The following is a 24047-nucleotide window of genomic DNA, read 5'->3' on the forward strand; positions in this document are numbered from 1 at the left end:
GGCACTATCTCGGCTCACTGCAACCTCCGCCTCCCAGATTCAAGCAATTCTCTTGCCTCAGCCTCCCAAGTAGCTGGGACTACAGGCGCACACCACCATGCCGGCTAACTTTTGTATTTTTAGTAGAGACTGGGTTTCAACCTGTTGGCCAGGCTGGTCTCAAACTCTTGACCTCAGGTGACCCAACCGCTTCAGCCTCCCAAAGTGCTGGGATTACAGGCGTGAGCCGCTGCGCCTGACCTCTAGCTCTTTTTTCTAACTGTTGGCCTGCTTTCCAAAAGTTGGCTTAGGCCCATGACTAGGTTCTTGGCTGTAGACTCACAAAGAACTGCTTCCCAGAGACCTCTCCACCACCTCCCTTTTGCAGTTTTACTCCAGCAGTTGGATGTGCTTGGTTTCTCAATCTGACTGGTGACTCTTCTCTGATCCTCTAAGTCCTTTTTTGAGACAGTCTTGCTCTTTCCCCTGCAAATTCCAGGTCTAGGCGTTTTTCTTTTTCTTTCTTTCTTTCTTTTTTTTTTTTTGAGAAGGAGTCTTGCTCTGTCGCCCAGGCTGGAGTGCAGTGGTGCGGTCTGACTCTCTGAAGGCTCCATCTCCTGGGTTCAAGTGATTCTCCTGCCTCAGCCTCTCGAGTAGCTGGGATTACAGGCATGTGCCACCATACCCAGCTAATTTTGTATTTTTAGTCAAGATGGGGTTTCTCCACGTTGGTTAGTCTGGTCTCGAACTCCCAACCTCAGGTGATCCGCTCGCCTCGGCCTCCGAAAGTGCTGGGATTACAGGTGTGATCCACCGTGCCTGGCGGACTTTTGTTCCTTTTAGAAGAAAATAAAAAAAGAATCTAGAGGATTGGTGAAAAATAAAAGATGACAGTAGAACTCTAGGAAGTGTTTTTTTTTTTTTTTTTTGAGACGGAGTCTCGCTCTGTCTCCCAGGCTGGAGTGCAGTGGCGCGATCTCGGCTCACCGCAAGCTCCGCCTCCCGGGTTTTACGCCATTCTCCTGCCTCAGCCTCCCAAGTAGCTGGGACTACAGGCTAATTTTTCTGTATTTTTAGTAGAGATGGGGTTTCACCATATTAGCCAGGATGGTCTCGAACTCCTGACCTTGTGATCCGCCTGCCTCGGCCTCCCAAAGTGCTGGGATTATAGGCATGAGCCACCGCGCCCAGCAGAAAGGAGTTTTAATCATTACTTAATCCAACGCTTTTTTGTTGTTGTTGAAGAGGGAAAACTGAAACGGGAATGTAATTTGCTCAGGATCACATGGCCAAGTTGTAGAATCAGGCTGCACTCTAGCCTGGGTGACAGAGGGGGACTCCATCTAAAAAAAAAAAAAAAGAAAAGAAAGAAAAAGAAATTATTAACAATGAAAATTAAAACAAATAAAAATGTTAGAGGCTAGACTCCACAGCCAGCCCACTCTCACCCTCTGTGTTGTAAATGCTTGCATGAGGCTTCAGGCAACTTTCAGGCTGACAAGGAAGTTTACAGCACCCAGTCCATAGTGGGAGTGTCCTAATGAATGATGAATGCTTATCGTGTGCAACAGCTTTTTCTTCTTCTTCTTTTAAATGACCTGGTCAGCAGGAAGTAGCAAGAGCTTCTTAATAGAACATTGGGGGAGCCAACTGGGAGAGGCTCAACCAGCTTTTGAACCAGAATAATCTCCGAGAAGTCACAGCCTTTTTTGTTTGGCCCTCTTTTCCTGCAGGTGGATTCATTAGAGTACTTTGAGTTGCATGTAAGGAGACTGGGTCAAGAGGGCCTTAAGTGACTAGAGTACTTAGTATTATCTCAGGTAACAATACACCAATAGGTGGACTGTTTCAGGGTTGGCTATTTCAGCGTCTCAGTTCTGGGGTATTGGATTAGCTTGTTACTGGACAGGGGTCCCAATCCAGACCACAAGAGAGGGTTCTTGGATCTCGCGCAAGAATAAATTCAGGGTGAGTCCGCATAGTAAAGTGAAAGCAAGTTTATTAGGAAAATAAAGGAATAAAGAATGGCTACTCCATAGACAGAGCAGTCCTCAGAGTGCCTGGTTGCCCATTTTTATGGTTATTTCTTGATCATATGCTAAACAAGGGGTGGATTATTCATGCCTCTCCTTTTAGACCATATAGGGTAACTTTCTGAGGTTGCCATGGCTTTTGTAAACTGTCAGGGCACTGGTGGGAGTATAGCAGTGAGGATGACCAGAGGTCACTCTCATCGCCTTCTTGGTTTTGGTGGGTTTTGGCAGGCTTCTTTACTGCAATCTGTTTTATCAGCAAGGTCTTTATGACCTGTATCTTGTGCTGACCTCCTGTCTCATCCTATGACTTAGAATGCCTAAGTGCCTGAGAACATATCCCAGTAGGTCTCAGCCTTATTTCATACAGCCCCTACTCAAGACGGAGTTGCTCTGGTTCAAATGCCTCTAAGCTTCTCAAGGATTCCTCATGGTCTCAAAATGGCTGCTACAACTTCAAATGTCACATTCTAGCACAGCAATGTCCAAAGGCTGGAAGAATATGTGTGAGAGAGAAAAGAAGTTGGGAGGTGGGAAAGTTTCTCTCTTTTAATAGAAAGGAACTTCCTTCCCAGAAACCCTCAGCAGACCTCCACCAATGCCTCAACTGCCAGGACTGCTTCCAATGCTTACTCCAAGACTGTCAACAGGATTTCCATGGCTGGCTCAGACCAATCAGAATTAATTTCCTGCACATGACATGTTGTGTTTTGTTCCAACAAAATTAGGTTCTGTTGGCAGGGGAGAAGGGGAATGAAGTAATCAACAGAATCTCTTTTAGGGCTTTATTTATAGGTCGGTGCAAAAGTAGTTGTGGTTTTTACCACTTCTTTTAAAAAATGGCAAAAAACACAGTTACTTTTGTACTAACCTACTATTTATTTATTTTCTGAGACAGGGTCTCATTCTATCACCCAGGCTAGAGTGCAGGGGCATGATCACAGTTCAGTGCAGCCTCGACCTCCCAGGCTCAATCGATCCTCCCACCTTAGCCTGCCAAGTAGCTGGAACTACAGGTGCCACCACACCTGGCTAATACTGGTATTTTCTGTAGAGATGGGGTTTCGACATGTTGCTCAGACTGGTCAATTCCTGGGCTCAAGTGATCCTCCATCCTTGGCCTCCCAAAGTGCTGGGATTACAGGCATGAGACACCACATGCTGCCATATGGCTTTGATAATTTCCTGAGTGGGCACCATGGATCTCTTTTTGTGATCCGGACCAAAAAGCAACTTGAACTTCCCAGGATGCTCAGATGCCCAAAGCACCTAACATGAGGGGAAGATTTATGGCCTAGACTAGACTATACTGGACACCAATTTCTTTGGGAAACCTCCCCTCCCTCGCTTCCACTCCCTGCAGTTCAGGTGAGGCTGTTTATACCCCTTGGTTCCACCAAGAAGCATGTGACCAGGCCTGGACAATCAAAGCATTGCCTTCTTCAAGTGACAATGATTGGTTCAGAGATGAACCACAACTTGAGTTCGTCCAATCAGAGTGAATGCTGCAACTTCAGCAGCATTTCCAGGAAGTGACCTCCTTTCCCACCACACTCATACCTGGCAGGATGCAGGCCTGGAGCTATTGGTTGCCAGCTTGCTATCAAGTAGATACTAAGACTGGAGCCAACTCACTGAAGAGCAAAGCCAAGAGATGGCGAGAGACTATGTCTGGTAACCTCATTTGAGTTCCTGAATCCAGCCAGGTCTGAAGCCAGTACTTTTCAGTTACTTACTTCAGTCCTTTTCAGTTACTTAAGCCAATAAATTGCTTTTTGCGTAAAAATCAGTTTCAAATGGGGCTTCTGTCATTTACAAATAAAAGAATCCTAGGCTGGGCACAGTGGCTCATGCCTGTTATCCCAGCACTTTGAGAGGCCAAGGTGGGAGGATTGTTTGAGTTCAGGAGTTTGAGACCAGCAACATAGCAGGACCCCATCTCTATCTGAAAAAGAAAAAAAAGGGCCGGGCGTGGTGGCTCATGCCTGTAATCCCAGCACTTTGGGAGGCCGAGGTGGGTGGATCACGAGGTCACGAGATCGAGACCAGCCTGATCAACATGGTGAAACCCCGTCTCTACTAAAAATAGAAAAATTAGCTGGGCGTGGTGGCACATGCCTGTAATCCCAGCCACTCGGAAGGCTGAGGCAGGAGAATTGCTTGAACCTGGGAAGCGGAGGTTGCAGTGAGCCGAGATCGCGCCACTGCACTCCAGCCTGGTGACGGAGCGAGACTCCATCTCAAAAAAAAAAAAAAAAAAGAAAAAGAAAAAAGAAGTATACATACAAATAAAAGAATCCCAAGTTTCTCAGTGTTTGGAGGAACATGTTTGAAAGACAAATTGAAAACATGTTTGAAAGACAAATTCCCAGGTGACCGAGACACCTGTGCTGGGACCTGAACCTCCACCTTTGGAACAAGCTCCTCCGGGACCCCTAATGTATGTAGTCCTGCCTTTATAGTCTGAGACTCTCTGACCCAGACTTTGGGGGAAGGACGGTCTCTTAATTCTGCATGGGAAACAAAAGACACCCAGTCCTTTCCATCACAAAGCCCCAGCTACCTTCTTGGCAAAGAGTAGGGAAATGCCTTTCATTCTTTCCCAATGGCCCTGGAATTGAGAAAATGAAAGACAGTTGATTTCCCAATCAGGTTATTCCACCACGTTGAACTTTCGGTAACTGTCCTTGCCCCATCGTGTTGCGAAAGCATTCAGGTTGAACAGTGTTCAGGAAGAATACTCAAGCAAAAACTGGTTTGCAGCCAAATACAGAGACTGCAAACCCCAGTGGCTTCAGGGGCCAGGCAGGGAAAGTAAACATGTGAAACAATAGGGAGTAGTCCTGCCTGTGGGGAACAGGGGAGTTCTCATGCCCCAGCCTAATAAATGAAAAAATTATTTATACACCACAGTGGAACCGGAGATGCACCTAAAGCCATTGGGATGTGGTTTCTCTTTTTCATCTCACTGCTCTGTCTCTGATGTGGCTTCATTCTCAGAGGATTGTGGGCTCACAAGCCAACATCCTGACAGTTTAGAAACCACAGGAGAAATGTTTCTCTTTCTCAATCGTTTCAACATAAATCCTGGATGAAACTGTTATTGGCCTTGTTTGAGTTCAAATGGTCATCCCTGAACCATCCCTGTACCTAAAAGAGGTATGGTGGTGTCATTGGTCAGACCTGAGTCTGACCCATCCTAGAATGGGGTTCAGGCCCACTTTAACCATATAGACTGAGACTGGGGAATGGGAAAGGTTTCATGCCTTTGTTTGGGCTCCCTCAGAAGCAGACTCTGAGATGAGGATTTGAGGTGCAAGTGGATTATTTGGGAGATGATCCCAGAAAGCACCATTAGGGGATTGAGGGAATGAGACAGAGAAGAGAAGCCTGCGGAAACAGGAAGTATTATCCAGCAAGTTACTACTGTGGACAACTGGAGCACAATCCCATCAGGGAACTCTGGCAGCCAGTGTAGAGCATTGTTTTAGTCTATTTTGTGCTGTTATGATAGAATACCACAGACTGGGCAATTTAAAACAATAGAAGTTTATTTGGCCCATGGTTATGGAGGCTGGGGAGTCCAAGGGCATAGTGCTGTCATCTGGCAAGGGCCTTCATGCTGCATCATTCATGGTGGAAGGTGAAAACGTAAGAGAAGGTGAGGGTGAACAAGAGATTGAACTCGCAGCCGCAAGCCCTTTCACAACTGGCATTAATCCATTCTCATGAGGGCTCCATTAGGCTCCACTCCCCAGCACATTTGAATTGCGGATTAAGTTTCCAATACATGCTTTTGGGGGGACACATTCAAACCATAGCAAACATAGACCTCAATGTTATCCCATCTTAGTGCTGAGGGAGCTGGGGTATTCATCTACCAACTTCTGTCAGTCATTGTCTGACAGTTGCTAGCAGGAGAGTTTTTGCCCAGAACTTCCAGCATGGAAGAGCATGGTCCCTGCTGGTCTGAGAAAGTCCTCAGACAAAGAGACGAAGCTTGGGCCAGCGTGCATTGAAGGTTAGGACAATGGCCAGGGCACCTATAGCCTTTGCTTCATTGTCTGAAGGAAAATTGGGGTGCTATGATCAGAAGAAGGCACTGATGTTGCACAGGTCAAACAAACATGTTCATTCAAGGAGTGAATCGGTTGGCCCATTCATCGTCTGAGTCCATTAACCAAGCAATGGCAAGGAAGGGTATACTCTGTTGCTCTAAGGAACTGGCATGGAAGCTGCACTTGGCACTTTTGTTCACATCTCATAGGCCAGGATGTGATCAGATGGCCATATCTACATGTGGGGAAATGTAGCTTTTGACTGTCCAGCCAAATCTCAGGGATTATGGCTAGGTGTGGTGGCTCACTCTTGTAATCCCAGCACTTTGAGAGGCTGAGGTGGAAGGATTACTTGAGCCTAGAGGTTTGAGACCAGCCTGGGCAGCAAAGTGAGACTCTTGCCTTTACAAAAAAAAAAAAAAAAAGTTTAAAGTAGCTGGGCATGTTGGCACATGCCTGTAGTCCCAGCTACTTGAGAGGCTGAGGCAAGGAAATGCTTGGGCTCAAGAGTTCAAGGCTGCAGTGAACTATAATAGTGCCACTGCACTCTGGCCTGGGTGACGGAGTGAGACCCTGTCTCGAAAAAAAAAAAAAAATTACAGAGATTCTGCTACTTAAAGAAGGGGAAGGAAGGGCCAAATGTTTTTTCCTGGCAAGACTTTGTGTCTATATTTCAGAAGGAATGCCTTCCCAGTGGACTTCAGCCTACATCTCATTTTCCTGAACCATGTCTCACTGCCTCCACTGGAGAACCAAGTATTTAGCTTCCTGGTCTCTCTAATAGAAGAAGGCAAGGGGAAGGGGATTGGGAGTGGGCAGTTTGGGCAGGAAGATCAACCATCCTGATTTGCCTGGGACTAAAGATATTCTGGAGACATGGGATTTTCAGTGGTAAAACCAACCTCCAGGATCTGCAGCCACACCCTATGTAGCTTGAGACCTTAACTCCAGTTGGAGAAATGTTATCTTCTCTGTCACCTCCTCCTCCTAACAACCTTCTCTCTCTGTTCATCACTTCCTCTTCAACTAAAAGGTGGCCAGGTCCTCTGCTATGCCCTACATCCACTTACACTCTGTCCTCATGGTTGGACCTCCTTGGACCCCAACTCTGCCCTGACTTCTGGGAACTTCAGTGGTGCCAGAGCCTCTGTCCAGCTCTCAGCATCTCCCTTACCTCCACCATCTTGTTTCCGGCCATCTTGCGTCCTTGGAGTCCAGAGTTTGCAAAGGTGGAAATGGAGAAGCTGGAGAGAGAAAGCGCTTGCTGGTCTCACTGAAACAGTCAGGACTCAAACTCTCAGCCCAAGGCTCTTCGCTCTGCACCCCTCAAAACCTTTGGTGCCTGTTATTCAACTAGCTTGACATTTCTCCAGCTCTGAGGTGATACCTCTCTCCAAGATGCCTGCAGTCAGAGGGCAGGGGGCGTGGCACAGAGTGGGGCCTCAAGAAACACTGCAAAATACCTCTAGGGCCCCTTTCTGGCTCTCAAATGATCTCGGTACGACTTGACCTGACCAAACAGAAAGAATTCAGGCTCCCTCCTCAAACCTGTTCCCCTACCACCTCCTAAGCGGTAGGGGTGGTTTGGACCCCAATAATGACATTTTTATATAACTTGGAGTTTATTATTTTTTCTTTTTCTTTTCTTTTTTTTTTTTTTTTTTTAAGACAAGAGTCTCGCTCTGTCACCCAGGCTGGAGTGCAGTGGTGCTATCTCGGCTCAATGAAACCTCCACCTCCCAGGTTCAAGCAATTCTTGTGCCTCAGCTTCCTGAGTAGCTGGGACTACAGGCATGCGCCACCGGGCCCGGCTAATTTTTGTATTTTTAGTAGAGACAGGATTTTGCCATATAATTTGGAGTTTCACAACACCAGCACTATTTAGATTTTGGGCCAAATAATCCTTGAGTGGGGGTGGGGGTGGGGGCTGTCCTGTTCACTGTAGGAGGTTTAGGGGCAGGCCTGACCTCCACCCACCAGATGCCCAGAGAACCCTCCTCCCCAGTTATGTCAGTGCCTCCAGACATTGCTAAATGTCCCCTGGGAGACAAAAATCACTCCTGAACCACTGATCTAGACGGTCAATATTTTCTTAATATAAAAAGTGGGGCTGGGCGAGGTGGCTCATGCCTGTAATCCCAGCACTTTGGGAGGCCGAGGCAGGTGGATCACGAGGTCAGGAGATCGAGACTATCATGGCTAACACAGTGAAACCCCGTCTCTACTAAAAATACAAAAAATTAGCCAGGCATGGTGGCGGGCGCCTGTACTTCCAGCTACTTGGGAGGCTGAGGCAGGAAAATGGCGTGAACCAGGGAGGCGGAGGTTGCAGTGAGCAGAGATTGTGCCACTGCACTCCAGCCTGGGCGACAGAGGGAGACTCCGTCTCAACAACAACAAAAGGGCGGGGGGAGCAACAAGCAACTTCAGAAAACGAAGTCCCTTTCAATGAGTACCCACCTTCTGTGGAAAAACCTCAAGCTCACTACTCAAATGCAGCTTGGAACAAAGGCTCTGGCAACCCTGCCATCCAGCTGGCTTCTCTCAGTGAGTCACACTCAGAGATTTCTGGCGTCACTGCCACTCTCCCCACCCCCTCTCATGCAGAACAATGGGTCTCACTCTGGCTCTGACCTTCTTCACACCCAGCACTTTACTCCATTTTCCTGGACTGGGAAAGCCCTTTATGTTGTGGGCAACTTTGTTTGTGCTAAGTCAACAGAAAATGCTTCTTGGCCTCTACCCTCCTGAGAGCACATGGTGCATTAATAAGTTTAACCCAGAGTTTCCCAACCTTGGCGCTACTGACATTTTGGGCTGGCTCATTCTTTGCTTCGGGGGCTGTCCTGTGTGTTGTCTGATGGTTAGCAACATCCCTGGCCTCCATTCACAGATGCCAGGGGCAACACCACACCTGGTTGTAACCAAAACTTTCTCCAGACATTGTCAAATATCCTCTGGGGAAAAAAAAATCACCCTCGGTTGAGAACCGTCGTCAACTCCTACTAGGAACCACTGAGGTTAGTAATATTTTTATTATTATTATTATTATTTATTTTTTTATTTTTTGAGACAGTCTTGCTCTGGTACCCAGGCTGGAGTGCAGTGGCACTATCTTGGCTCACTGCAACTTCTGCCTGCCGGATTCAAGCGATTCTCCTGCCTCATCCTCCCGAGTAGCTGGAATTACAGATGTCTGCCACCACGCCCGGCTAATTATTTTGTATTTTTAGTAGAGACAGGGTTTCACCATGTTGCCCAGGCTGGTCTCGAAATTCTGACCTCAAGTGATCCACCTGCCTCGGCCTTCCAAAGTGTTAGGATTACAGGTGTGAGCCACTGTGTCCAGCCATATTATTATTATTTTAGAGATGAGGAAATCAGGATTATGGAAGTGTGATGACTTGTTCAGGTATAAGGGGCAAAGTCAGGAATTGGAATTTCTCCCAAGCCAGTGATTTTCTTTTCCTTTTTTTTTTTTTTTTTTTTTTTTGAGATGGAGTTTCACTCTTGTTGCCTAGGCTGGAGTGCAGTGGCATGATCTTGGCTCACTGCAACCTCGGCCTCCCGGGTTCAAGCAATTCTCCTGCCTCAGCCTCCCGAGTAGCTGGTATTATAGGTGCCTGCCACCACACCCAGCTAATTTTTTGTATTTTTAGTAGAGACGGGGTATCACTGTGTTGACCAGGCTGATCTGGAACTCCTGACCTCAGGTGATGCACCTGCCTCGGCCTCTCAAAGTGCTGAGATTACAGACATGAGCCACCGCGCCCGGCCTAAGACAGTGATTTTCAAATTCGCTAACTGATAAACGTCACTGGGGCCCTTGCTAACAGAGGCCTGGCCCCATGCCAGACCCACTGCATCAGAACCTTTAGGAAAGGGGCCAGGAGTTCTATATTCTCTACAAGATTCCTTTCCTGACAACCTGCAAACATCAATATTTAACAGCCAATATTCTCTGTTTTTATAGCTTTTCTCACATGAGCCCCCACTGTTTATTTTTTACCTTTTGTTGTTGTTGTCGTTATAAATGAGACAGAGTCTCATTATGTTGCCCAGGTTGGTCTCCAACTCCTGGGCTCAAGTGATCCTCTCACCTTGGCCTCCCAAAGTACTGGGATTATAGGTGTGAGCCACTATGCCTGGTCTTTTAAATTTTTTTCGAGTTGGGGTGCACTGGCTATTCGTAGGAGTGATCATGGCACACTATAGCCTTGAACCCCTGGCCTCAGCCCCAGAAGCTGGGACTACAGACACACGCTCAGGGTGTCCAGCTTGCCATTCCCACTTCAGAGAAGAAACTGAAGCACACAGAGATTGTGACTTGCCCAAAGCCATTCAGAAAGTGAGAATAGGCCGGGTGCAGTGGCTCAAGACTGTAATCCCAGCAGTTTGGGAGGCCGAGGTCGGAGGATCACTTGAGCCCAGGAGTTGGAGACCAGCCTGGGCAACATGGCAAAACTCCATCTCTACAAAAAATACAAAAATTAGTCGGGTATGGTGGCACTCACCTGTAGTCCCAGCTACGTGGGAGGCTGAGGTGGGAGGATTGCTTGAGCATGGGAGGTCATGGCTGCAGTGAGCAATTATTGCACCAGTGCATTCCAACCTAGGTGACAGAGGGAGACCATCTCAAAAAAAAGAAAAAAAAAAATGAGGCTGGGCACGGTGGCTTAGGCCTGTAATCCTAGCACTTTAGGAAGCTGAGGCAGGCGATTGCCCGAGGTCAGGAGTTTGAGACCAGCCTGGCAAACATGGTAAAACCCCGTCTCTACTAAAAATACAAAAATTAGCTGGGCGCGGTGGCACATGCCTGTTAATCCCAGCTACTCGGGGGGCTGAGGCAGGAGAATCACTTGAACCTGGGAGGCAGAAGTTACAATGAGCCGACATTGGACCACTGCACTCCAGCTTGGGTGACAGGGCGAGACTCTGTCTCCAAAATAAAAAAGTGAGAAGAAAAATAAATAAAATTTAAAATAACAAAAAGTAAGAAACAGAAACATACACACACACAAAAGCAAACAAAAGAAAACAAGAAAAGGAAAAAATGAAACAAACTAGAAAAAACAAAATGAGAAGAATGTAGACTGTCATCATGTGCCTTGGCCATCCCTCCAGGAAGATGTCTTGGAGCTGGGATTCGTGGATAAACAAGATAAACAAGATGTATACATTTTCCTGTGTGCTTGCAGCTACACACACACACACACACACACTTGTGCATGCATTTGGACACACAAACACTGGGGCCAGAGAGAGGCCCAGCCTCCCCTTAGACACATTGTTGTCCAATGTCCCCCACCCCCAGTTGGGGTTCTGTAAGTAAAAAAGAAGGAACAGGATGAGTATTCAACAGGCAACCTTTAGGTTTTCCATGGACCTCACCTCATTTGATAGACAGAAAAGTTTCTACAGCAAGTTCATTGGCAGGACTAGGCCTTGAGCCCACTCCCTGGGACAGCGGACTCCACACCACCTGTTACAACTGGAGATTGAGTGTCTGCCGGAAGCTGTTTCCTGGGGAACTGCAGCCAGCTGCTGGCCACACAGGAGCTCTTTATCCCCCACCAACTCACCTCCCTGGGATCTACCCAGGACCTGCCTTCTTGAGTAACAGGATGTGACCCTATGTCACCAGGGCACTTGCTGCCCATTGAAAGTCCTCATGAGTCATTCTCCAAGGTTCCAAGGGAAAAAAAACTCCTAGATAGGGGCCCATCCCAGAAAGAAATAAAACACTGGCCCAGGGCCGAGACTTTCAGAGAAACCAGCTGGCCTGCTTGTGAGTGGGAGGTTGCGGGGGGTCACCTTGAACCGAGGTCTCTCTGGACAGAACTGTTTTCTTATTCAATCATTCATTCATCATCTATTTATAGACATGACATTTATTCATGGATTCAGCTAATATTTATTAGGAGGGGCAAAATAACTCTCACTTCTAACCTACACATTTTTGAGTTGTTTACATTCATTATTACACAAGTATGTGCTGCTTTCATTTTTTTAAGCTTTGCTTTTAATTAATTAATTAATTTATTTATTTAGCAATCCCAGGATGGAGACAGATTTAATTATTTTAAAATAACAGGCCAGGCGTGGTGGCACACACTTGTAATCCCAGCTACTCAGGAGGCTGAGGCAGGAGAATCGCTTGAACCCAGGAGGTAGAGGTTGCAGTGAGCCGAGATCACGCCACTGCACTCCAGCCTCAGCCACAGCCTGTCTCAAAAATTAAAAAGAGAGAGAGAGAGAGAGAGAGATGCTGCTTTCTGATCCAGAGGACATACATGCCCCACTGGCAAGACAGAAGATCCCCAATTCGGACAGCTACCTGGAGAAGTTGACCTCTAAGCTGAAAACTCAAGGATGAACGTTGCCAGGTGACAGGGAGGAAATTACCAGAAATGGTGCTCTGGGCAAAGGGAACAGCATGTACAAAGGTCAGGAGATCATGCTTTTTTCCGAAAATGCAAGTGTTTGAGACCATACTGTAGGAAGTGGGAGAGGAAGTGATGAGCTCAGAGAAAAAGACAGAAAGGCAGAGAGCCCACTTAAAGGAATGGCTAATTAACCACCCCCATTCCACTCTTCCCGCCCACCTCCCCACCCTCATCCCACTCCTAGGACCATGACTCAGTCATGAGGTTTTCACACTCTCTCACTTTAAGCTGGGCAGTTTCTGTTTCTCAGCCAATGTGTCATTCATCAGCAGATCATGTCATCCCCCCCAATCCACAGCATGGTTCCAGAATATCAGCTGATCCTCGTGAATTGGACCGCAAATCTTCCAGAGTTTTTTTTTTGTTTTTTTTTTTTTCTTTTTTGAGATGAGGTCTTGCTCTTGTCACCCAGGCTGGAGTGCAGTGGCGCGATCTCGGCTCACTGCCTCCGCCTCCCGAGTTCAAGCGATTCTGCTGCCTCAGCCTCCTGAGTAGCTGGGATTACAGGTGCCTGCCACCTACACCCAGCTAATTTTTGTAGTTTTAGTAGAGATGGGGTTTTGCCATGTTGGCCAGGCTAGTCTCAAACTCCTGACCTTTTGATCTGCCCTCCTCAGCCTCCCAAAGTGCTGGGACTATAGACGTGAGCCGCCACACTCGGCCGCTTCCAGGGTCTTACAAGGCGAAAAAAATCTTACATTGAAAATCAAGGGAGCATTAATAAATATTATAGCACTGGGTGCATCGCCCACAGATAGGCAGGCAAGTTTTGTTCAACTGGAGGCACTTTATGACTAGGTCTAAAGTCGCCATTTATCTGAGATTGTCCTGTCTCTAGCAGCTGGGTCTCATTTCATGCTCAGAGGAAACTTACGAGGAAAATGCTTTTGCTATCCCCACTTCACAGAAGAGAACTGAAGCCTAGAATGTAAGACACTCACCTCAAATCTCATATACCTGATCACTTTTTTTGAAACAGGGTCTCAAGCAGCCACCCCGACTGGAGTGCAGAGGCTGGAACACAGTTCACTGCAGCCTTGACCTCCCTGGGATCAGGTGATCCTCCCACCTTAGCCTCCCGATTAGCTAGGACTACAGGTATGCACCACCACACCTAGCTAATTTCTGTATTTTTTCTTCCAAGACGGAGTCTTACTAAGTTGCCCAGGCTGCAGTGCAGTGGTGCAATCTCAGCTCACTGCATGAGATCGTCTGCTGGGTTCAAGTGATTGTCTTGCCTCAGCCTCCCAAGTAGCTGGGATTACAGGCATGTGCCACCACACCCGACTAATTTTTGTATTTTTAGGTATTTTTAGGAGAGACGGGGTTTCGCCATGTTGACCAGGCTGGTGTCAAACTCCTGACTTCAGGTGATCCACACACTTTGGCCTCCCAAAGTGCTGGGATTACAGGTGTGAGCCACTGCATCCGGCCGCCTGGCTAATTTTTAAAAATTATTTGTAGAAATGAGGTCCTGCTATGTTGTCTAAGCTGGTCTCTAACTCCTGGGCTCAAGAGATCCTCTCACCTCGGCCTCCCAAAATGCTAGGAGTACAGGCGTGAGCCACTGTGCCCAGTCATGGTCTTTGTTTAATCTTTACAATAGAGCATCCCCATTTACGATATGGGAAAACAGAGGCCCAGAGAGCTGAAGCAACTTGCCAGAGACATAGCAAAAGTAAGGGAGTGCTCCTACACTGCTGACAGGAATGTAAAGTGGGGCAGCCACTTTAGAAAACAGGGTAGTAGTTCCTCAAAAGACTAAACAAGCTGGGTGCAGTGATCCAAGTGCTTGTAATCCCAGCACTTTGGGAAACTGAGACGGGAGGATCACTTGAACTTGGGAGTTCGAGACCAGCCTGGGCAACCTCGATAGTGAGACCCCGTCTCTATTGAAAAAAGAAAAAAAAGTGTAAACATAGGGTTACCATATCATCCAGCAATTTTCCCCCTAGGTATATGTCCAAGCATTGAAAACATATGTCCTCACAAAATTTGTACATGAAAGTTCACTGCAGTATTATTCATTATAGCTAAAAGTGAAACCAATCCAAATGTCCAACAACTGATAGATGGATATATATATTTTAGACAGAGTCTCCCTCTGTCACTCAGGCTGGAGTGCAGTGGTGCAATCTCGGCTCACGGCAGCCTCCACCTCCCGGGTTCAATCAATTCTCCTGTCTCAGCTTCCCAAGTAGCTGGTATTACAGGTGCCCACCACCACACCCAGCTAATTTTTCTATTTTTAGTAGAGACGGGGTTTCACCACGTTGACCAGACCAGTCTTGAACTCTTGACCTCAGGTGATCCGCCTGCCTCAGCTTCCCAAAGTACTGGGATTACAGGTGTGCGCCACCACGCCCAGCCTATAAATGAGTAAATAAATGTATGTATCCATACAATGGAGTCTTACTGAGCAATAAAAAGAAATAGAGGCTGACACTTACTACAATACAGATTAACTGGAAAAACATGTTAAACAAAAGAACTGGCCGGGTGCGGTGGCTCATGCCTGTAATCCCAGCACTTTGGGAGGCAGAGGCGGGCAAGAGTTCAAGACCAGCATGGGCGACACAGTGAAACCCCATCTCTACTAAAATACAAAACATTAGCTGGGCGTGGCAGCGCGCACCTGTAGTCCCAACTACTTGGGAGGCTGAGGCAGGAGAATTGCTTGAACCTGGGAGGCGGAGGTTGCAGTGAGCTGAGATCGCACCACTGCACTCCAGCCTGGGTGACAGAGCGAGACTCCGTCTCCATAAAACAAACAAAAAAACGAGCAAAACACAAAAAACAAATGAACAGCATAAAGGAGCTTATGTTACATGATTTCATTTATGTGAAATGTCCAGTATAGGCAAATCTGTAGAGGCAGAAAGTAGATTAGTGGTTGCCAGGGCAGGGGGACTTGGGAGAAAATGGGGATTGACTGCTAACGTGTATGGGGTTTCTTTTGGGAGTGGTGAAAATGCTCTAAAATTGATTGGGGACTTGGTTGCTCAACTCCAAAGGTATGAAAATGAAAACCCATGAAATCATACACTTTAAATAGGTAAATTATGTGGTATCTGAATTATATCTCAGTAAAGCTCTTACAGGAAAATGTTTTAAAAAGTAATAATAATAGGGGCCAGGTGCACTGGCTCACGCCTGTAATCCCAGCACTTTGGGAGGCCGAGGTGGGTGGATCACCTGAGGTCAGGAGTTCGAGACCAGCCTGACCAACATGGAGAAACCCCACCTCTACTAAAAGTGCAAAATTAGCCGGACATGGTGGCACACACCTGTAATCCCAGCTACTTGGGAGGCTGAGGCATGAGAATCGCTTGAACCCAGAAGGTGGAGGTTGCAGCAAGCCGAGACAGCACCACTGCGCTCCAGCCTGGAAAACAAGAGGAAAACTTTGTCTCAAAATAATAATAATAATAATAATAATAATAATAATAATAATAATAGGCCCCAGCACAATGGCTCACGCCTGTAATCCCAGCACTTTGGGAGGCCAAGGCAGGTGGATGACTTGAGGTCAGGAGTTCGAGACCAGCCTAGCCAGCATGGCGAAACCTGGTCTCCACTAAAAATACAAAAATTAGCCTGGTGTGGTGGTGCATGCCTGTGGTCCCAGCTACTTGGGAGGCTGAGAGAGAAGAATCTCTTGAACCCGGGAGGTAGAGGCCACAGTGAGCCGAGATCACACCACTGCACTCCAGGCTGGGTGACAGGGCAAGACTCCATCTTAATAATAATAATAATAATAATAATAATAATAATGGGGTAGGCTGTGATCATGACCTAAACCATGATCTATGTTTGAACATCTGCACTTACTATGTGCTCAACTAGCCTGAGCCAAAATGAGCAAGGAGGGGAGCAGAATACATTAGCTCACACAGTTGAAAAATCCAGGAGTATTTCAGGTATGGCTGGATCCAGGAGCTTAAGTAATGTCAGTGGGACTTTGTCTTGCTCTATTTCTCCAGTTCAGATTTGCCCTGTGCTGCCTTCCTTTTCAAGTAGGTGACAAAAATGGCCTTGGCAGCTCTAGACTGCTGAGCTCTTACTACCCTGAGGGAGTATCTTTTTCCTTATAGTGTTTAGTAAAGATCTGATGGAAGGTTCACACTGATCTGACTGGGGTCACTTTTGAATTAATCGCCATAGCCAGGATAATTTTCTGCTCTGGTGGGCTAAGACTGGGTGATACAACCCATTCTAGAGCCAGGTTTGTGGTCAGCTTCACCCAAACCATATAGATTATAGGGGTGGGGTAGTTCCCCAAGGGAAAATTAGGATTCTGGGCAGGCTCAAGTCACAGATACCCACAGTATTCGGACAGTGTGGACCCTGCTGCCCAGGTTTGACCCTTGCTTTTTCCACATGCCAGCTATGTGACCTTGGCAAAGTTCTTTTTTTTTTTCTTTTTTTTTTTTTTTCCTGAGATGGAGTCTCATTCTGTCACCCAGGCTGGAGTGCAGTTGTGTGATCTTGGCTCACTGCGACCTCTGCCTCCGGGGTTCAAACGATTCTCCTGCCTCAACCTCTCAAGTAGCTGGATTACAGGTGCCTGCCACCACACCTGGCTAATTTTTGTATTTTTTGGTAGAGATGGTGTTTCACCATGTTGGGCAGGCTGGTCTCAAACCCCTGACCTCAGGTAATCTGCTCGCCTCAGCCTCCCAAAGTGCTGGTATTACAGGTGTGAGCCACTGTGCCCAGCCTCCCCAGATTATTATTATTATTATTATTTTTTTTTTTTGAGATGTAGTCTCACTGTGTCACCCAGGCTAGAGTACAGTGGCGCAATCTTGGTTTACTGCAACCTCCGCCTCCCAGGTTCAAGCGATTCTCCTGCCTCAGGCTCCTGGGTAGCCGGGATTACAGGCGCAAGCCACCACGCCAGGCTAATTTTTGTATTTTAGTTAGAGACGAGGTTTCACCATGTTGGCCAGGATGGTCGCGATCTCCTGACCTCGTGATCCACCTGCCTCGGCCTCCCAAAGTGCTGGGATTACAGGTGTGAGCCACCGCACCCGGCCCCCCAGATTATTCTTTACAATGGACAATCCACAGCCACAAAGCTAAGAGCCAGGTGCTTGGTTTTTCAATTTTTTTTCTTTCTTTTCTTTCTTTCTTTTTTTTTTTTGAGACGGAGTCTCGCTCTGTCACCCAGGCTGGAGTGCAGTGGCGCGATCTCAGCTCACTGCAAGCTCCACCTCCCGGGTTCACAACATTCTCCTGCCTCAGCCTCCCGAGTAGCTGGGACTACAGGCGCCTGCCACCACACTCACCTAATTTTTTGTATTTTTAGTAGAGACGGGGTTTCACCGTGTTAGCCAGGATGGTCTCAATCTCCTGACCTCATGATCTGCCCTCCTCGGCCTCCCAAAGTGCTGGGATTACAGGCGTGAGCCACCGCGCCCAGCCTGTTATTTTTTCTTTAAACAGTGAAGAGGGTTTCAAGGAATCTCTCCTTAAAGGCAAAGACCCTGCCCAACTGAGTGTTGAGGCCTTTGTAGTGGACTGACCTGGGTTAATTTCTGGCTCTGGGTTCTGCCTTGGGCAAATCACTTTCTTTCTCTAAGCCTCAGTTTCCTCCTCCATGCAATGGGCAGAGTAGAGGGGAATAAATGAGAATCATCTCAAGTATTGACTGGCTCAGCACAGTGCCTAGAATCTGTGTCTAATAAGTGAACTTTTATTTTCCCTTTTTTTTACTTGTTTATTTGACTACATGAATACCTTCAAAAAGTACAGAGTGAAAGTAAAGAGTGAAAAATGGGTGGGTCTCCCTTCCTCCCTGTTCCTTTACCCACCCACTTCCCTTTCAGAGATATAATCAGGATTACAGGTTTCAAAACGGTTTTGAATTTATAGGACTATAACAAGAATAATTCAGAGAATTCCATATACCCTTTACCCAGAATCACCTGTCTTTACTATTTTGCCATGTTTGTTTTATTATCTTTTCTTTCTTCATGTGACTATGTTTATTATTATTATTTTTCTGAACTATTATAGTTTTCATACATCATGCCGCATTTACCTCTTAATATTTCCGCATATGTTTACTAGGAACACGATATTATTTGCTGTAACCACAGCACTGTTACCAAATTCAGAAAATTTACCTTGATGCCCCATTTACCTCATAATATTTCAGCATGTATTTCCTAAGAACAAGATATTATTTGCTATAGGCTGGGTGCAGTGGCTCACTCCTGTGATCCCAGCACTTTGGGAGGCTGAGGCGGGTGGATCACCTGAGGTCAGGAGTTTGAGACCAGCCTGACCAACATGGCGAAACCCTGTCTCTACTAAAAATACAAAACTAGCCGGGTGTGGTGGTGCACACCTGTAACCCCAGCTACTTGGGAGGCTGAGGCAAGAGAATCGCTTGAACTCAGGAGGTAGAGGTTGCAGTGAGCTGAGACTGCACCACTGCACTCCAGCCTGGGCAACAGAGTGAGACTCTGTCTCAAAAATAACATAAAAGAAAATAGATATTATTTTCTGTAATCACAGCAGTGTTACTAAAAAATTTACCTTGATTACCATCCATACGCCAATTTTGTCAGTTGTGGTAAAAAAAAAAAAAAAAAAAAAAAGAATCCCTTACAGCTTTTTCCCGCCTAGTGCAGGATCCACTTCAGGACCATGTTTTGTCTGTCTTTTTTATTTTTTTTTTCTTGAGACGGAGTCTTGCTCCGTCACCCAGGCTGGAGTGCAGTGGCACAATCCTGGCTCACTGCAACCTCCACCTCCTGGGTTCAAGCAATTCTCCTGTCGCAGCCTCCCGAGTAGCTAGGACTGCAGGCGCCTGCCACCACGCCCTGCTAATTTTTGTATTTTTAGTAGAGATGGGATTTCGCCTTGTTGATCAGGCTGGTCACAAACTCCTGACCTCAAGTGATCCACCCACCTCAGCCTCCCAAAGTGCTGGGATTACAGGCTTGAGTCACCGCGCCTGGCCTAATTGTCTCTCATCTGAAATGATGCCTCTGCTTTTCTTTGTCTTTTATGACCTTGACATTTTTTGAAGAATACAGGCCAGTTATTTCATAGAATGTTCCTCATTTGGGGTTTGTTTAACAGAGTACCCCAAATTTCTGTAGGATAGGAATTCAGGAAGGGCATAGTGGGGAAAAATTCTATCTGCTCTAAGGCTCACTCCTGTAATGCCAGCACTGAGGCCTCAGCTGGAAAACTCAAAGGCTAGAAGCGAGAGTTACCTGAAGTCTCACTGTCTGGCAGCTAATGCAGGCTGCTGGCTGGGGCTTGGCTGAGGCCCCACACACAGCCTCTCTACGTATCCTGAGCTTCTTTCCAACTATGGCAGCTGGGATGGAAGGGCAAGCATCCAAATGGAGAAAGCCATACTGTCTTTTTTATTTTTTATTTTTATTTTTTGAGACGGAGCCTCGCTCTATCGCCCAGGCTGGAGTGCAGTGGTGAGATCTCAGCTCACTGCAAACTCTGCCCTCAGGGTTCAAGTGATTCACGTGTCTCAGCCTCCCAAGTAGCTGGGATTACAGACGCCCGTCATCATGACCAGCTAATTTTTTTGGAGACAAGAGTTTTGCTCAGTCTCCCAGGCTGGAGTGCAGTGGCATCATCTCAGCTCACTGCAACCTCCACCTTCTGAGTTCAAGTGATTCTCCTGCCTTAGCCTCCCGAGTAGCTGGGATTACAGGTATGTGCCACCACGCCCAGCTAATTTTTGTATTATTACTAGAGATGGGGTTTCACCATGTTGGCCAGGCTGGTCTCGATCTCCTGATCTCAGGTGATCCACCTGCCTCAGCCTCCCAAAGTGCTGGGATTACAGGTGTGAGCCACCGCACCCAGCCACTAATTTTTATATTTTTAGTAGAAATGGGATTTTGACATGTTGGCCAGGCTGGGTTTGAACTCCTGACCTCAAGTGATCTGCCCATCTCGGCCTCCGAAGTGTTGGCATTACAGGCGTGAGCCGCCACACCTGGCCTGTCAATATTGTTTTAATGATGGTTGCTCCTTCTCAGGCTTTCCTCACATACTGTTTTTTTTTTTTTTAGACAGGTTCTGGTTCTGTCACCTAAGCCTCCTGAGTAGCTGACATTACAGGTGTGTGCCACGAGCTTGGCTAATTTATTTATTTATTATATTAAATATATATATATTTATATATAATATTAAATAATATATGTATATATATTTATATATAATATATATATTAAATAATGAAATATATTAAATAATAAATAAATAAATAATTTATTTATTGTTTTGTAGAGATGGGAGTCTCACTATATTGCCCAGGCTCATCTCAAACTCCTGGCCTCAAGCATTCCTTCCACCTCAGCCTCCCAAACGGCTAGGATTACAGGTGTGAGCCACCACACCCAGCCCTCCCTCATACATTCAAATGGCCAACTCCCTTGGCTTCCTCAAGTCTTTGCTTAAATGCCATCTTCTCAGGAAGTCATTTTCTGAACACTCTATTAAAAATTGCAACCTGCCCCCAAACACGTCTTGCACTCACTGTCCGTGTCTCTGCTTAAATTTTCTCCGTAGCACTCATACCATCTAACATACTGTGCATTTACTTGTTTATTTTTATTTTTTTGAGACAGGGTCTCACTCTGTTGCCCAGGCTGGAGTGCAGTAGTGTGATCATGGTTCATTGTAACCTCTGTCTCCTGGACTCAAGCAATCCTCTCACCTTAGCCTCCCAAGTAGCTGGTACCACAAGTGCACATCATCACACCTGGCTAATTTTTGTATTTTTTGTACAGAAGGGGTTTCGCCATGCTGACCAGGCTCATCTCAAACTCCTGGGTTCCAGCGATCCACCCGCCTCAGCCTCCCAAAGTGCTGGGATTATAAGTGAACCATCATGCTGGGCAATTTATTTATTTATTTTCCGTTTCCCTCTACTAATGAATCAGCTCCAGGAGTGCAGGGACCTTGTCTGTTTTCTACACAGATGCGTTCCCAGCACCTAGCACAGTGCCTAGCAGGTATGTGAATGAATGAATGAATGAATCCATGCATGCATGAATGAAGTATCCTTGTACAAACCATGAACCATGTACATGTTAGGTGTCTACAACTTGTCGTTTGAATTAATGAATAAAAGAACAGGCAAGGCGCGGTGGCTCACACCTGCAATCCCAGCACTTTGGGAGGCCGAGGTGGGCGGATCATCTGAGGTTGGGAGTTCAAGACCAGCCTGACTAACATGGAGGAACCCTGTCTCTACTGAAAATAGAAAATTATCCAGGCGTGGTGGCGCATGCCTGTAATCCCAGCTTGGGAAGCTGAGACAGGAGAATCGCTTGAACTCGGGAGGCAGATGTTGCGGTGAGCCAAGATCGTGCCATTGCGCTCCAGCCTGGGCAACAAGAGTGAAACTCTGTCTCAAAAAAAAAAAAAAGAAAGAACAGACAGCACCAACCCTCCTTGTAAGTTCAATATGAGGTTGATCTGAAGCTGCCACCCAAGGCTACTGATCAAAATATCCTTCTAAACAAGTCTGTCCCACAGTCCTGGCGTCTGATAATATGGACAGTCAGGCTGGCTGGCACCAGACTGGACCCAGATGAAGGAATGGAATCAGGCCACATTACAGGGGCAAGAGGAGCCTTGTGGCCAGAGGTTCTAGAGGTCAGCAGCAAGTCATGCATCTGAAGAGGAAGTTGATTGCTGTACCTCAAGCTGAAACAGAAACTGCGGTGGCTAGCAAGGAAGGGTCCCCACCTGTGCGCCTCAGCCCCTTGGCCATTGCCAGCTTCCAACAGACCACAGAGACTTTTGGGGGAAAACTTTTTTATTGAAGTGTAACAGACATACAGAAAAGTGCACAAATAAGGAAAGTGCACAGGGGAGCGATGGCTCGATACATTTTCACAAAGGCAGACAGCGGGGTAACCAGCCCCCAGCTCAAGGAACAGAACATTCCCCGCCCCGGAGAAGCTCCCTTCAAGTCTTTCCCATCCTAAGCGATAACCGTTATCCTGATTCCAACAGCAGTGATGATTTTTGCCGTTTTTTGAACTTGATGAAATGGCAGCACATAACACGTATTCTTTTGTGTAAGACTTACTTACTACAAACTTTGTATGTTTGTAGCAACAGCCTTTTGACCCTGTCTCTTCCTCCATGCCCTCAAAGAGAAAAAGGAACCTAATAATAACACAAAATAAAGCGAAAGCATACTTGCTTGACTGGTTTAAATGTGCCATCTGGCCGGGCATTTTGGAGGCCGAGGCGGGTGGATCACTTGAAGTCAGGATTTCGAGACTAGCCTGGCCAACATGGTGAAACCCCATCTCTACTAAAAGTACAAAAATTAGCTGGGCATGGTGGTGGGCACTTGTAATCCCAGCTACTTGGGAGGCTGAGGAAGGAGAATCGCTTGAACCTGGGAGGCAGGGGTTGCAGTGAGCAGAGATCGTGCCACTGCACTCCAGCCTGGATGACAGAGGGTGACTCCATCTCTCAAAAAATAAAATAAAATAAAATAAAATAAAATAAAATATAAAATAAAATGTGCCATCCATTCTTTCATGCTTCAGCCACCCAGTGGGCTGGAACTGTTACTGCTTCCATTTCAAATATTGGGAGGCTGAGGCACAGAGAGGTTAAATAATTTGCTCAGCCAGGAAGTGAAGGTCTGTATTTAAAGCCAGGTCTCTCTGATCTCCAAGCTCATGTTCTAACCCAGCATACACTCCTTATCAATAAAATGACCATGTATTGAACACCCTCTTTGGACTGAATACTATACTTCAACTTTATGTCCATTGTCTTATTTGATTTTCCCAGCCGTTGATGAGTAATATACCATTATCCTTGCTTAGCAAATGATGAAAGCAGGGTTCAGAGAGGTTAAGGAACTTTCCTAACGTCATACAGCCCAGGAAGGCATGAAATAAAAATTTAAACTCTATTTTGTTGATTCCAAAGTCCAGTGCAGAACGATATCAGTACCCAGCATTTATGCGCATCTTTCAAATATACCTTCTGAGGCCCTGCAGGGTGGCTCATGACTGTAATCCCAGCACTGTGGGAGGCCGAGGTGGGTGGATCAGTTGAGGTCAGGAGTTCAAGACTAGCCTGGCCAATATGGTGAAACCCCGTTTCTATTAAAACTACAAAAATTAGCCGGGTGTGGTGGCACACGCCTGTAATCCCAGTTACTTGGGAGGCTGAAACAGGAGAATTGCTTAAACCCCGGAGGCAGAGGTTGCAGTGAGCCGAGATTGCACCACTGTACTCCAGCCTGGGTGACAGAGCAAGATTCTGTCTCAACAGAAACAAACAAACAAAAACAAATATACCTTCTGAGTTTTTCAAAAAAGAGACAACAATAGCAGTTACCTTTTATGGATCATCTCAGAGTCAGTTGTTTTGGTCAAAGATTGCAAATGATCCCTTAATTTGTGTTCTTGTCTTCTCTCTCCTAGTAAGAGTATACCTGATTTTTAGCTTGGCACATGGCTTCCCATGGCTTTACTACCTATCTCAGCCTTCCTTGCAGCTAGGGG

General features: G+C 46.5%; 1 long non-coding RNA gene across 4 annotated transcripts, besides 6 other annotated features; it reads right to left on the reverse strand.

Annotated features, from left to right (window-relative positions):
* Window positions 1-890: 890 nt before the first annotated feature.
* LOC105372652 (uncharacterized) lies at window positions 891-11605 on the reverse strand. 4 transcript variants are annotated; one of them, XR_936825.3, is made up of 3 exons: window positions 11462-11605; window positions 7245-7314; window positions 891-1322 (listed from the first exon to the last, which is right to left on the reverse strand). It is a non-coding gene; the product is annotated as an uncharacterized LOC105372652 (long non-coding RNA). The 4 variants fall into 4 exon arrangements; XR_936823.3 differs by lacking the exon at window positions 11462-11605 and adding an exon at window positions 8531-8577; XR_001754661.2 differs by lacking the exon at window positions 891-1322 and adding an exon at window positions 5546-5634.
* Window positions 4758-5607: an enhancer, noted in NCBI's record as "OCT4-NANOG-H3K27ac-H3K4me1 hESC enhancer chr20:48385061-48385910 (GRCh37/hg19 assembly coordinates)". NCBI's record gives its function as "activates a minimal SCP1, AML or CMV promoter by ChIP-STARR-seq in naive H9 embryonic stem cells {active_cell/tissue: H9 hESC(naive)}" and the evidence as "EXISTENCE:reporter gene assay evidence [ECO:0000049][PMID:30033119]".
* Window positions 5608-6456: an enhancer, noted in NCBI's record as "H3K27ac-H3K4me1 hESC enhancer chr20:48385911-48386759 (GRCh37/hg19 assembly coordinates)". NCBI's record gives its function as "activates a minimal SCP1, AML or CMV promoter by ChIP-STARR-seq in primed H9 embryonic stem cells {active_cell/tissue: H9 hESC(primed)}" and the evidence as "EXISTENCE:reporter gene assay evidence [ECO:0000049][PMID:30033119]".
* Window positions 8084-8722: an enhancer, noted in NCBI's record as "H3K27ac-H3K4me1 hESC enhancer chr20:48388387-48389025 (GRCh37/hg19 assembly coordinates)". NCBI's record gives its function as "activates a minimal SCP1, AML or CMV promoter by ChIP-STARR-seq in primed H9 embryonic stem cells {active_cell/tissue: H9 hESC(primed)}" and the evidence as "EXISTENCE:reporter gene assay evidence [ECO:0000049][PMID:30033119]".
* Window positions 11573-11721: a silencer, noted in NCBI's record as "fragment chr20:48391876-48392024 (GRCh37/hg19 assembly coordinates)". NCBI's record gives its function as "represses an EF-1alpha promoter that drives an FKBP-Casp9 reporter gene in an ReSE screen in K562 erythroleukemia cells {active_cell/tissue: K562}" and the evidence as "EXISTENCE:reporter gene assay evidence [ECO:0000049][PMID:32094911]".
* Window positions 19867-20390: an enhancer, noted in NCBI's record as "H3K27ac-H3K4me1 hESC enhancer chr20:48400170-48400693 (GRCh37/hg19 assembly coordinates)". NCBI's record gives its function as "activates a minimal SCP1, AML or CMV promoter by ChIP-STARR-seq in naive H9 embryonic stem cells {active_cell/tissue: H9 hESC(naive)}" and the evidence as "EXISTENCE:reporter gene assay evidence [ECO:0000049][PMID:30033119]".
* Window positions 21917-22156: an enhancer, noted in NCBI's record as "active region_18069". NCBI's record gives its function as "activates an Ori minimal core promoter by ATAC-STARR-seq in GM12878 lymphoblastoid cells {active_cell/tissue: GM12878}" and the evidence as "EXISTENCE:reporter gene assay evidence [ECO:0000049][PMID:35858748]".

This window comes from Homo sapiens, chromosome 20, assembly GCF_000001405.40.
Source record: "Homo sapiens chromosome 20, GRCh38.p14 Primary Assembly".
Classification (NCBI taxonomy): Eukaryota; Metazoa; Chordata; class Mammalia; order Primates; family Hominidae; genus Homo; species Homo sapiens.